We start from the raw sequence: 13,552 nt of genomic DNA, 5'->3' as shown, positions 1-13,552 counted from the left end.
CGAGACCAACCTGACCAACATGGTGAAACCCTGTCTCTATTAAAAATACAAAAATTAGTCGGGCATGGTGGCGCGCACCTTTAATCCCAACTACTCAGGAGGCTGAGGCAGGAGAATCGCTTGAACCCGGGAGGCAGAGGTTGCAGTGGGCTGAGATCGCGTCATTGGACTCCAGCCTGGACGACAGAGCGAGACTCTGTCTAAAAAAAAAAAAAAAAAAAAGCCTGCGCCATCCCCCAAATTGATTGTAATGTACATATATATTTTTGTTGTTGTTGCAGGTAAGTAGGCTATGGAAAACTTAAAATAATTTTAAGCATAAAACTATTACATTATTCAAAATTTATGATCTTCAACGTATTCAAGAATGATGCAACACTTTAATTTTTAAAAATGTCAATAATTATAATACAAAGAAAAACATCTGCTTAATCTTAAGATACATATTAATTTGTCAAAAATGTGTATGGGGGGACATAGTTTTAAAAAATTGGGGAGGACGGTGGGTAACAATATTTTGAAGCCTAAGGGCCCAACTTGGCTAACGACTAAGCTCTGTTAAATCTTCAGTTTTTATCTTGTGTCTATTGGAAACAGCCTCCAAATCCAAAGAGGGCCACTCAGACCAGATATTACAACACGGCCTCCCTCGAATTCTTGGGTTTTCCTAGATATTCAGCAGGGTCATGGAGGCTAGCGTTATCGTCTTTGTCCTCAAAATAGAAATCCGAGAAACCTCCAAGTGGCCCGAAAATTTAGAGCACTCGCTCGTGGATACCATTGTCACTCCAGAAATGGTCTGAATTCCTCTTTCCTCTCGAAATTTATTTGCTGGGCACCAAACTAGAGCCGGACACCAAACTAGAGCTGAGCCAGACTTAATTCCTGGGAAATCGTCCAGGAAAAAGAGCTGCCTGTTCGGGATCGTTGCTAGGGCTCTAGGACGCAGACTTGTCTATTTCAACACATGCATACCTGAACCAGCTCAACCCTGTTTGCATCGCCAGTGTGTTCCCTGTCTGAAAAGAACTGGGTGCTGACCTTGTTGAACTTGAGCACCCTTAGGCTGCCCGAGGCGCAGCGAATGTGTACCAGGAACCGTAGCCGCGCCCGGACAGGAAGAGGCGCCGAAGCCCGGCTGAGTGGAAGTCCTTAGTCTTCCAACAGCCATAGCGGCGGGAACTGGGAGAGAAAAGGTATGCACAAAGTCCTTTGTTGGAGAACGGAGACCTCCGAGCTGTTATTAAAGGACAGCTTTCTCCACCATCTTCCCATTCCACCACCAATGAGGAGGTAAATTGATTTCTGTTGAAAATATTGTTTTTTGGGGGGAAGACGTTGAGACTCCTGATGACATTTGCCTGCCGCCTAGAGGATCCTCGTGCTCCACTTCGAAGAATTGAAGTCTTGATAATCAGCAGAAATGACCTCTGCACACCTTTTCCCCATTCATTGAACTATTGAGCAGCTTACCATGCTGTGCGGGCACCCGAGGTACCAGGAGAATGAAGAGCAAGACAGCACAAAGAGTAACACAAGCAGTTAATTATAATAACGCGTAGTGGAGCAACAGACATACCACCGGGCGTTTTGAGGGGGCCAGAGAGAAGGAGTAACTCTCCAGTCCTTATGAACCCGCGAGGCATAGCTGCCGGAGATTTTCTTCCTTCCATTATGGAGCGGATTCCTCATGCCGCGATCCAAATCCACCAGCCATTCCGCGTGGTGAGTCAATTTCATAAGCAAACCATTTGGATGGAAAACTCAGAACGACCAGCTTCTGCTCCCAGATCGTCCCCCGGGTCTCTGGACCCCTCCCAAGGTCAAAAGGAAGGAAGCCCCTCTCGTGAATGGTTCTCTGTAGTATTTTCTCCGGGCGGAATAGGTGAGTTTGAGAAAATCTCATTTCCCACGGGAGAGGCGAAGTTCCTTTCTGCTGGAGGTAGAGTTTTTGGCCTTGTCCTTGTTTTTGTTTTTGTTTTCCTTCTTCCCTGCGGGAGTGCAGGAAGGGAAAATGCAAAACACCAACAGAAGTTTGAAGAAACAATATTACGTAGTCGCAATTAAAATTATTTTAAAAGACATCCCTTTGAGGAGAGGAAAAGAATTTCCTTTAGTGTTAAAGAAACACAAAAACAACAAACATTTTGCTTTTTTAAAATTGAAAGAACAACTGTTTTCCGGGTGGCCGGTTAGCTCAGTTGGTTAGAGCGTGGTGCTAATAACGCCAAGGTCGCGGGTTCGATCCCCGTACGGGCCACGAGGGTTCTCACCTTCTCTCTCCGATTTTGCCGCAGTCACTTCACATCCAGCTATACATCGGAAATAACAGCTTCTTCAATTTAAAGTCGGAATTAAATGATGCCATTTCTTCTTCAGCAGTCACACCTACCCATTTCAGTCTTGCACTCCTCTAAAGGAGCTTGGGAAAGAAAAAAGAAAATCTTATGGAACAAGTGACATGACGCCCTAAGACAGAAATTTTAGTGAAGAAAATGAGGGTGTTAGAGAGGGGGGTAGCACTGGGGTTGGATGTGTGTCTGATGCCCGCTGTCCATCCGAACTCCATGTTTTTTTGGTCCCTTTCTCAGGATCCAGCCTATGGAGTCTGCTTGTGCCTGTCACGTGCTTCCTCTACCTGATGGTCTGCTCACCCCTGGAGCTATCTTTGGACACTGTTGAAATTGATATTTTTTATTAAGATAATCACAATGGGAAACAATGCATACATATTTTGCTTTCCTTTTTTTCATATTAAATTCTCAGTCTGTTCTCATCAGAATTTTCGTCTTTGAGGACATAATTTTTTTCTTTTTTCTTCCAGATCACCAGGTCTCAGAATGGCTCTGAAGACAGAGTAGGCATTCGGTAAATATTTGTGGAGTGACTGTTGAAGACTCGCCATTAGAGTGTGTTTTCAAACATTGGGATTTTGTTTGCCCAGTCTGACTGATAAACATATATAAAGGAGCAAAAGCCTGCCAAGGTCTACATTTACAGCAAAACAAAGTGGTTGTAAAGATTATATCATTTTATAGAATACACAGAATTACAGATGTGAAAAATAAATGGTAAAAATAATCCCAGCAAGAAACGAAACTTAGACATTTCAGATCTGACAAAGGGTCATTTTCAAAGGATGACGAAACCACCGCTCAATACTTTAAAAAGACAAAATCAAAGCTCATTCGAGGGAGAGCTATATTGTAAAACACAGTCCCTGAAAACAGAACAGATGGCTGATCTTTTTTTCATTAGGTTGATATAATCTATGGGAGCATGGTTACTTGTCAGAGACTGCCATTGTTTGGTCGGCACTCATAGGTATGTTTATTGGAGTGAGTCCATCCCTGATCAGCTCACTTTCCGAAGCCAGGAGCAGACACTGATTGGTTTTCAAAAGTGTGTTCACAGAAGCGATTGTTACTGACAGATTGAACTGATTGAAAACCAGTTCTGGGCCGGACGCGGTGGCTCACGCCTGTAATCCCAGCACTTTGGAAGGCCGAGGTGGGCGGATCACCTGAGGTAGGGAGTTCAAGACCAGCCTGACCAACATGGAGAAACCTCGCCTCTACTAAAAATACAAAATAGCCGGGCGTGGTGGCGCATGCCTGTAATCCCAGCTACTAGGGAGGCTGAGGCAGGAGAATCGCTTGAACCCGGGAGGTGGAGGTTGTAGTGAGCCGAGATCGTGCCATTGCTCTCCAGCCTGGGCAACAAGAGCGAAACTCCGTCTCAAAAAAAAATTATATATATATAATGTTTATATATATATAACTAATGTTTATATATATGTTTATATATATATAAAACATATATATAGTGTGTGTGTATACACACACACACACACACACACACATATATATATATAAACAGATTCAGAATTTCACAAAACAACTATGGGCCGGGCGCGCTGGCTCAGGCCTGTAATCCCGGCACTGTGGGAGGCCGAGGCGGGTGGATCACGAGGTCAGGAGCTCGAGACTATCCTGGCCAACATGGTGAAACTCCCGTCTCTACTAAAAATACAAAAATTAGCTGGGCGTGGTGGTGCGTACCTCTAATCCCAGCTACTAGGGAGGTTGAAGCAGAAGAATCGCTTGAACCAGGGAGTGGGAGGTTGCAGTGAGCCGGGATCGCGCCACTGCACTCCAGCCTGGAGACAGAGTGAGACTCCTTCTCAAGAGAAGAAAAAAAAAAAAAAAAAAAAAAAAAAAAAAACAACCAAAAAAACGAAACTACGCTCTGTTTCTGCCCGGTTTCGAACCGGGGACCTTTCGCGTGTTAGGCAAACGTGATAACCACTACACTACGGAAACTCGCTTAGTGAGAGTGTTTTTCAGTTTTGAATTAGTTAAAATGAACTTTAAATTTATCCGTTCCGTCAGGGTATATCTTTGGCAGAGGGGTAATATTTTCCCCTACACTTTCTAATTCTTAGAATACATAGTTTAAAACCCGACAACTCGAAATCAAGCAAATGCTTCTCCTGAAGCTTCAATTCCTTCAGAAGCACAGGGCGGGGAAATATCAGGCAGTCTCTCGGGAAATTTTATTTCAGTTCATTTTTTTTTTTTGGTATGTTCTCTGCTCTCTGCTCTCATAAGACGCTCTAATGTTCATTTCTCGATGACTGAAAATTAAGCAGGATATTGGTGACCTCGAGTATTTTTTTCTTCATGCTAGCAGCCTGTCAGTGAGATTCATTCAAAGTCCCGCTTACTCCTAAATGAGACTCTTTCTTGAGGTTTGAAACAAAAGGCAGACGCAGTGTTCATGCAAAGGCGTATAACAAGAAATAAATAGCTTGGGTGTGTAAGGGGAAGTTTAAAATCAAGACAGAACAACCGTATTCATTAGGATCAGTTACCAATGAGCAAATATCTATATATCATACATGGTAATTGGTAATAAATACATATGTATATTTACACATATGTATATATATGTATATATGCTTCTCACACTATGTATTTTTTGCTGTTTTATATACATATATATATATGAACATGAGGATAAGCTTCCTCATCCATAATTATCTCATCCTTAGCATAGTGAAAAGCATCTAGTAGGCTAGATTTTATAAATCCTAAAGAAGCGATAGAGTTCTGCTAACTATGGTAAAAATTTTCGTCAAAAGATAGCATATTTGATCATCAACAGCTATTTGATAGGAATTAAAACATAAATTCCATGAGGAAAAGGATATTTTGTCTGTCGTGTCCACTGCTTTATTCCCAGCTACTTAATAGTCTCTGGCTTAGGACTTTTAGTAGAGAATTAATTAACATTTCTTTAGTGAATGAATGAATGAGAACAAGTAACAATCAAGAGTTCAGTTTTGGATATCTAAACTTACCTTTTTTCAGTGTATTGTAATTGATGGGTCTTTCAAACTTGTGCCAATTGAGATGCATATAAAATTGTTTAGCACTTGAAATACTCTCCTTACTTTATCTTGTAGTGAGACTATCCTTGGATTTTACTGTAGCCATTTTTTTTCTAGCATTTGTACCTGTCCTCAGCTATGACATTTTGTGTTAGTGTAGTGATTATCACTGTGTGTTATATGCAGAAGGTCATGGTTTTGCTCTGCAGGAGATCCAAAATAAACCAAGGACTGATCCCTTTATCCTGCTTTTTAAATTTCATAATAGAGAGACCAATGAATTATTTTACAATTGTTATCATCTGGTTGCCTGCTCCAGCAGACTACAGGGTTCTGGGGTCTGGCTAACATTTCCTCATTTTTTTCTGGCTTCCATAAAGGGCCCTCCACAAAGCCCAAGTGCTTACAATTGCCAAACATTCAGAATACCAAATTAACAGCTGATTTCTGAGACTAGCATGGAAGCTGTGAAAAATGTGGAAAGCTGCCAGCTTCAGCCAACAAAGAGTAGGCCAGGGATTCAGATGGCCTGAGAAGGTCTTGAGTCCAGAACCCCAGGAATAGAAAATGCCCAGGATATAAAGGCATTTGCGTCTTTCTAGGGCAGCTCATGTGGATCTGGCTTTTAGCTCTATATTTTGAAAAGTTGGAGCGGTAAGGAAGGCGGAATAGTAGTAACTGAGCCAGCATTTGTCAGAACTTAGGGAAAGTGGTCAGAAAAATAGCAAGCAGCTTGCAAATGAGGTTCTGTCCTGGATGTGATATTTGTTCTTTCAGCTTAACCTCAATAGACTGAAGTGGTGAAATGAGAGACAAGAAAATTTGACGTAAAATTTTATTTTCTAGACTCTTTGGTATTTGATCCCAATAAAATGATGGTTCCCTATCACCACAAGTGGATATCACCACACACTATTTTACCAATCCTTAGGATTCCATGGTGAGAAAAAATCATAGTAAGTCACAGATAGACCTAATTATAATGATGGCAAATTAAGCACAGCTTTTGCTTTCTCTTTATTCCAAACTACACTTATACAAAGCATTAAGGGTGTTTAAAGACATAAATACACAGGGACAAAAAGATGAGAAAATGATGAGCAGTAGCAAGTAGCAAGATTTTGAATGCCAGAGAGCAGAATGATTAGTGCTAACAGAAGGGAAAATCTTATTGTGTTAAGTATCTTTTTTTTTTTTTTTTTTTTTTTTTTTTTTGAGACGGAGTCTCGCTCTGTCGCCCAGGCTGGACTGCGGACTGCAGTGGCGCAATCTCGGCTCACTGCAAGCTCCGCTTCCCGGGTTCAACGCCATTCTCCTGCCTCAGCCTCCCCAGTAGCTGGGACTACAGGCGCCCGCCACCGCGCCCGGCTAATTTTTTGTATTTTTAGTAGAGACGGGGTTTCACCTTGTTAGCCAGGCTGGTCTCGATCTCCTGACCTCATGATCCACCCGCCTCGGCCTCCCAAAGTGCTGGGATTACAGGCGTGAGCCACCGCGCCCGGCCAAGTATCTTTTTAAAAAAAAATTTCTTTTTAAGATTGGTACATGCGGCCAGGCGCTATGGCTCAGGCCTGTAATCCCAGCACTTTGGGAGGCCAAGGCAGGCAGATCACAAGGTCAGGAGCTCGAGACCAGCCTGGCCAACATGGTGAAACTCCATCTCTACTAAAAATGCAAAAAAAATTAGCCGGGCGTGGTGGCGTGTGCCTGTAATCCCAGCTACTCGGGAGACTGAGGCAGGGGAATTCCTTGAACCAGGGAGGTGGAGGTTGCAGTGAGCCAAGATCATGGCATTGCATTCCAGCCTGGGTGAAAGAGTGAGACTCCATCTCAAGAAAAAAAAAAAAAAAAAAAAAGATTGGTACATTTACATATACTCTAGTACATCTCATAGTTGCATAATATTTAATATTATGTGTTTACCACACTTCACGTATCTACTGTTCAATGTTGGCTTCAAGGCTGAATCTGATTCTGGAAGAGGAAAAATAGTGAGGCAATTAACATCCACATATGATACAATCTATATCTTTGTGACATGAGGGGGAATATACACCTAGGAGCCGAATACCTAGGTCATTGAGTGTGTCAATCTTAACTTGAGTAAAAAGTATTAGACTGCTTTCCAAAATGGCTACATTAATATAAACTTCCACCAGCAGGATATGAGGGCTTCCATATTCCCATTTCTGCAATAATGGACACATCAAGCTTTCTAATTCTTCCAATGTAATGTAGGTTGAGTAATAACTTATTTTATCTTGCATTTTATATTGATAATATTAAATATTTAAAATGTTAATCTTTTCAGGTTCTTCTTATCATGGGTTTGATGAGGACCCTGTCCCTATTCTTTATATATTTTCTTTTCTTTCTTTTTTTCTTTTTGAGACAGAGTCCTGCTCTGTCACCGAGACTGGAGTGCAGTGGCACAATCTCGGCTCACTGCAACCTCTACCTCCTGGGTTCAAGCGATTCTGCTGCCTCAGCCTCCCGAGCAGCTGAGACTACAGGCGCCTGCCACCACGCCCTGCTAATTTTTGTATTTTTAGTGGAAACGGGGTTTCACCGTATTGGCCAGGCTGGTCTCGAACTCCTGACCTGGTGATCCGACAGCTTCGGTCTCCCGAAGTGCTAGGATTACAGGCTTGAGACACCGCGCCCAGCTTCTTTACACATTTTCTATTGAGCTTGCTGTTTGATCTTGCTGATTTTAATGGCTTCTTACTATATCATGTAGATTAAGTTATTTTCATTTGTAAATATTTCAAGTATCTTCTACTTTGGTTGTATTTGTCTATTTACTGTTCCATTGTGGCTTTCTTTGATTTGGGTGCAGCAGACCATATCAGTGTTTTGCTTTACTGTTTGTGGTTTTTTTTTTTTTTTTGAGACGGAGTCTTGCTCTGTTGCTCAGGCTGGAATGCAGTGGCACGATCTCGGCTCACTGCAACCTCCGCCTCACAGGTTCAAGCGATTCTCCTGCCTCAGCCTCCCGAGTAGCTGGGGTTACAGGCGCATGCCACCACCCTCGGCTAATTTTTGTATTTTTTAGTAGATACGGGGTTTCGCCATCTTGACCAGACTGGCCTCGAACTCCTGACCTCAGGTGATCCGCCCTCCTCGGGCTCCCAAAGTGCTGGCATTACAGCCGTGAGCCACCACGCTCGGCCTATTGTTTGTGTTTTTAGTTTTGTTTGTTTGTTTAATGTTATTCTGTCCCCTAGATAATAAAGCTATTTTTCTACGTTTCTATTATTTTTTTGTCTGTCATATGTAGGAATTTAAACTATCTAGATAAGTATATTTTACAAAATCCACAGATGATTATACTGTATAGTCCATGTTTTAAAAAATCACAACAATAGAATAATTAAAAACTCTTCTGTATGTCAATGTATGGGAGACTCTTTTCTCTGACATGTTCTTTCCTACACCCAGCAATCGCCTGAACCCGGGAGGCGGAGGTTGCTGAATCTTTAGGATTCAGCTCTGATCCTAGCATTGACAGGCGTGGATTTCCCTCAACACGCCTCATTTTAATGGAAGTCCAAGGAATCAGGGATGGTTCGTCTTTCCCTAACACCTAGCATAATGCCTGTCGCAAATTAGTGATTAAGTCATACTTTTGGAAATATATCTTTTCATTTGTTTATTTCCAAGCAATATTAGAAAGATTTATTAACTTTGTACACTCTTTTAAACATGGTCCTAGTTTTCGCGGATATAAAATTACTCATAATCTTCCAGAAACTACAAATTCTAGCCTAGTAAACGTTGACAACAAAACTGGCTGTTATCACCGGGATGGCTGAGTGGTTAAGGCGTTGGACTTAAGATCCAATGGACAGGTGTCCGCGTGGGTTCGAGCCCCACTCCCGGTAAGCGTTGGTGTGTACTTTGACGTTTGCGGTTTCTGCCGCAGAGTTGGAAGCCAGGTATGCTTACATAAAAACTAATATGACAACCTTCTCACTTTGCGTGTAAACGCTTCAAATAATAACGAAGGTTATTAAACAATATTCTGCCCAACACTACTTTTTTTTTTTTAATCTTCAAGGAAATTGCTTCGGTGAGCAGTATTAAGTAGGAGACGCCTCTTCCCACAATTCCTATGGCCTAACAGCACAGTGTATTCAAGTCTTGAATACATTCCTATCACTGTGGGATGTATTCAAGTACATTGACAAGCCTGTAATCCTAGCACTTTGGGAGGCTGAGGCGAGCGGATCACTTGAGGTCAGGAGTTCAAGACCAGTCTGGCCAACATAGCGAAACCCTGTCTCTACTAATAATACAAAAATTAGCCAAGGGCGGTGACGGGCGCCTGTAATCCCAGCTACTCGGGAGGCTGAGGCAGGAGAATCGCTTGAACTCGGGAGGTGGAGGTTGCAGTGAGCCGAGATCGCGCCATTGCACTCCAGCCCGAGCGACAAGAGCGAGACTCCGTCTCAAAAAAAAAAAAAAAAAAAAAAAAAATCAGCAGAGTGTGGCGGTGCACGCCTGTAAGCCCAGCTACTCCGGAGGCTGAGACATGAGAATCGCCGGAACCAGGGAGGCGGAGGTTGCGGTGAACTGAGATCGCACCACCGCACTCCAGCCTGGGCGACAGAGTGAGACTCTGTCTCAAAAAAAAGGAATTGTGGGAAGAGGAGAGCCTAAGTGGATGTTCTACCTAAAGAGACCTGAATTCTGCAGGCGATTCAGTTCCAAAAGAAGGGAAATTGTGAAATATTTTGCGTTTAGGTTCTCTTTGGCTCTGATGCAGGCAAAAGCGAATCCCACAAGCACTGCTTTTTTTTGTTGCCAGAGAGCGGGACTCAGAGAAGCCCAACTCCACTATTAAGGCTCTCAATATTCCTTACAAAAATCAGACTCAAGTAGGAGAAATTATCCCAAATGCGAGCAAGATTGTCGAATGCAAATAGTCTTTCAGACTAGAAATGTTCAGCTAAGACATTATAGGAAAACATCAATAAGTAAATAATGTGCTTTTAAATTTATTTCAACGAGCAGGAGATAATTGGCTAACCTAAATCAATCTTGACAGGAAAATGAAAGGAAATGATCCTCGGTGTGGTTATAGTTTTATAAAAGAAAAATATGTGTAATCCGACTGCTGTATATACTTAGTGAGAGACTATCCTTGCATCCGATGACTGCAACCAATTGTTGTTTGAGCCCTGCTATTTTTAGAATTCTCTCCTGTCCTTCTTCACAGTGATATTGGACCTTCATGTAGTGTTTATCACTTTTGTATTACAAGTTTCATGAGAAACTGCTGACTTGCTTTCCAAAGCAGTCATACTGTCTTAAATTTCCAGCAACAATTCATACCGTTTTAAATTCCCAGGAACCATATATTAGAGTTTATGTTCCCCCTCATTCTCACCAATGCTTGTTTTAAATTATGTTTTAATTTTTTAGCCATTCTAGCAAAAATACATTAGTATCTTACTGTGATTTTGATTTGCATTTCCCTAAAGATTAAAGTATATTTTCATAAAGTATATGTGTTTATCTGTTGGCCATATATAATCTTTGGCAAAGTGTGTGCTTAAATATTCGTTATTGTTTGGTTTTCTTATTATTGAGTTCTGAGAGCTCCTTATATTTTCTGAGCAAACTACAATAATCAGACATTTTATTTTTTGAGACAGAGTCTCGCTCTGTTGCCCAGGCTGGAGTGCAATGGCGCAATCTCAGCTCACTGCAGCCTCCGCCTCCCGGGTTCAAGCGATTCTCCTGCCTCAGCCTCCCGAGTAGCTGGGATTACAGGCGCCTGCCACTACGCCTGGCTAATTTTTTTGCATTTTTGGTAGAGACGGGGTTTTGCCATGTTGGCCAGGCTGGTCTCAAACTCCTGATCTCAGGTGATCTAGCCAGGATTACAGGCGTGAGCGTGAGCCATGGCACCGGGCCCTAATTGTTCATTTCTAATACAGTAACTGACTTACCATGGTTTGCCTTAAATTTTCTAAACTTTGTGATGGGTTTTTTTAGTGGGGAGGTACTAAATGCATTTTTGACTTATATTCTTTTTTTTTTTTTTTTTGGAGACGGAGTCTCGCTCAGTCGTCCAGGCTGGGGTAGAGTGCAGCGGTGCGATCTCGGCTCACTGCAAGCTCCGCCTCCCGAGTTCACTCCATTCTCCTGGCTCAGCCTCCGGAGTAGCTGGAATACAGGCGCCCGCCACAACGCCCGGCTAATTCTTTTGTATTTTTAGTAGAGATGGGGGGGGGGGGTCTCACCGTGTTAGCCAGGATAGTCTCGATCTCCTGACCTCGTGATCCGCCCGTCTCGGCCTCCTAAAGTGCTGGGATTACAGGCGTGAGCCACCGCGCCCGGCCTTGATTTATATTCTTAACTTGAAATAGGTTCGTTGGAATGTAGCCCCACCGTAAGTGGAGGTACCTCTGTACATAGAAATACAATAGATTTTTATTTATTTACCTTTTATCTCACAGTCTTACTATATTCTTTTATTATTCTATTTCAGATATTTTATTTTTAGGTTATATTTATTTATTTTTATTTATTTTAGGTTATATTTATTTTTTATTTTAGATTATTTTGCATTCTCTGTATAGACAATCATGTTGCCTATGACTAGAGTTTTATTTCTTCCTTTACAATCTAATCTGTGTGCTTTTATTTATTTGTCTTGTGTAATTACATTAAATAGGACTTCTAAAACAATGTTGAATAAGAGTGGTAAGAGGCCGGGCGCGGTGGCTCACGCCTGTAATCCCAGCACTTTGGGAGGCCGAGGCGGGCGGATCACGAGGTCAGGAGATCTAGACCATCCTGGCTAATACAGTGAAACCCCGTCTCTACTAGAAACCCCGTCTCTACTAAAAATACAAAAAAATTAGCCGGTATCCGGGCGTTGTGGCGGGCGCCTGTAGTCCCAGCTAATCCGGAGGCTGAGGCAGGAGAATGGCGTGAACCCGGGAGGCGGAGTTTGCAGTAAGCCCAGATCGTGCCACTGCACTCTAGCCTGGGCGACAGAGTGAGACTCTGTCTCAAAAAAAAAAAAAAAAAGAGTGGTAAGAGCAGATATTCTTGTCAGACATTCCCTATCTTGAGAAGTCATTCAGTCTTTCACCATTAAGTATGATATTACATTTTTTTTGCAGATGCTTTTTATCAAGTTGAAGAAGCTCCTCTCTATTCCCAGTTTACTAATTTTTTAAAAATCATTAATGGGTGTTGAATGTTATTGAATGTTTTTCTATGTCTGTTGAGATGATCATGTGGTTGAACCTTCCCGCCACCAGAATCATAAGCCAAATAAGACTCTTTTCTTTATAAATTACGTAAGCTTAGGTATTCTGTTATAGCAACCCAAAATAGACTAAGACAGGCAGACTCTGTGATCAGGGTCTCTGAGGTCATTCTGCCTGCTCCCAGAAGTTGACATTCTCTGATATTCTGTACCTAATACTCCCTTGAAGTAGAAATTTTCATTCTTTTTTACTTTCTTCAGCTCCTGTGAATTTTCTGCTCTCTGGATATAACCATGTTTGCTGCTACTCCGTAAGTGCTTAAGCTTTCTTTCTTTAGGGACAGGCTATTCTCTCAGTCCTGTTCCACTGAAAGGGGCTTTCTCTGATCTCTTGCCCTGCTCCATCATTTCTTATGAGCACGGGTTCTACATCTGTAGACTCAACCAACCAAGGATCAAAAATATTTGAAAAAAATAAAAACAATGCAACAATAAAAAAATACAGTATAGCAACAATTTACATAGGATTTACATTATATTCGGTATTATAAATAATCTAGAGATGATTTAAAGTATACAGGAAGATGTGCATAGGTTATTTTATATAAGGGACTTGAGCATCAGTGGATTTTGGTATTCTTGCGGGTCCTGGAACCAATTCTCCTGCAACATGGAGGACAGCAGTACTATGAGAATTGTGAAGAAAAGCCTGCAAAAGTGTGAAAACTCTTCTTGAGTACTTGATCCTAGGGGTTCTAGAATTTCCTTCTTAGACATAAACACTTAGACTAAATTCAGCAAGTCATAAAATATTGAATTTTTGCTGAATTTTTCTTACCCTCTCGCATGGAGGCCTCATCATCATCCTATTGCTATGGTTGAGCCAGTATTCATTTCTCATTTCTACTTGGAAGCACATATTTTTCCATAGA

The 13,552-nt window shown here is 41.8% G+C and overlaps 3 non-coding genes across 3 annotated transcripts, besides 5 other annotated features; 2 read left to right on the top strand and 1 right to left on the bottom strand.

Moving 5' to 3' along the window:
- Positions 1,074-1,574: an enhancer, noted in NCBI's record as "H3K27ac hESC enhancer chr6:27206036-27206536 (GRCh37/hg19 assembly coordinates)". NCBI's record gives its function as "activates a minimal SCP1, AML or CMV promoter by ChIP-STARR-seq in naive H9 embryonic stem cells {active_cell/tissue: H9 hESC(naive)}" and the evidence as "EXISTENCE:reporter gene assay evidence [ECO:0000049][PMID:30033119]".
- Positions 1,121-1,410: an enhancer, noted in NCBI's record as "active region_24276". NCBI's record gives its function as "activates an Ori minimal core promoter by ATAC-STARR-seq in GM12878 lymphoblastoid cells {active_cell/tissue: GM12878}" and the evidence as "EXISTENCE:reporter gene assay evidence [ECO:0000049][PMID:35858748]".
- On the top strand, positions 2,187-2,260 carry TRI-AAT5-3 (tRNA-Ile (anticodon AAT) 5-3). The gene has a single exon. It is a non-coding gene; the product is annotated as a tRNA-Ile (tRNA).
- Positions 2,411-2,490: an enhancer, noted in NCBI's record as "active region_24275". NCBI's record gives its function as "activates an Ori minimal core promoter by ATAC-STARR-seq in GM12878 lymphoblastoid cells {active_cell/tissue: GM12878}" and the evidence as "EXISTENCE:reporter gene assay evidence [ECO:0000049][PMID:35858748]".
- Positions 4,249-4,298: a silencer, noted in NCBI's record as "silent region_17023". NCBI's record gives its function as "represses an Ori minimal core promoter by ATAC-STARR-seq in GM12878 lymphoblastoid cells {active_cell/tissue: GM12878}" and the evidence as "EXISTENCE:reporter gene assay evidence [ECO:0000049][PMID:35858748]".
- TRV-AAC5-1 (tRNA-Val (anticodon AAC) 5-1) lies at positions 4,250-4,322 on the bottom strand. Its single transcript has one exon. It is a non-coding gene; the product is annotated as a tRNA-Val (tRNA).
- Positions 4,309-4,358: a silencer, noted in NCBI's record as "silent region_17022". NCBI's record gives its function as "represses an Ori minimal core promoter by ATAC-STARR-seq in GM12878 lymphoblastoid cells {active_cell/tissue: GM12878}" and the evidence as "EXISTENCE:reporter gene assay evidence [ECO:0000049][PMID:35858748]".
- Positions 9,194-9,276, top strand: TRL-TAA4-1 (tRNA-Leu (anticodon TAA) 4-1). The gene has a single exon. It is a non-coding gene; the product is annotated as a tRNA-Leu (tRNA).
- Positions 9,277-13,552: the final 4,276 nt, after the last annotated feature.

Source organism: Homo sapiens, chromosome 6 (genome assembly GCF_000001405.40).
Source record: "Homo sapiens chromosome 6, GRCh38.p14 Primary Assembly".
Classification (NCBI taxonomy): domain Eukaryota; kingdom Metazoa; phylum Chordata; class Mammalia; order Primates; family Hominidae; genus Homo; species Homo sapiens.
The sequence above is the reverse complement of the archived record's forward strand: the minus strand, read 5'-3'. Positions and strand labels throughout refer to the sequence as shown.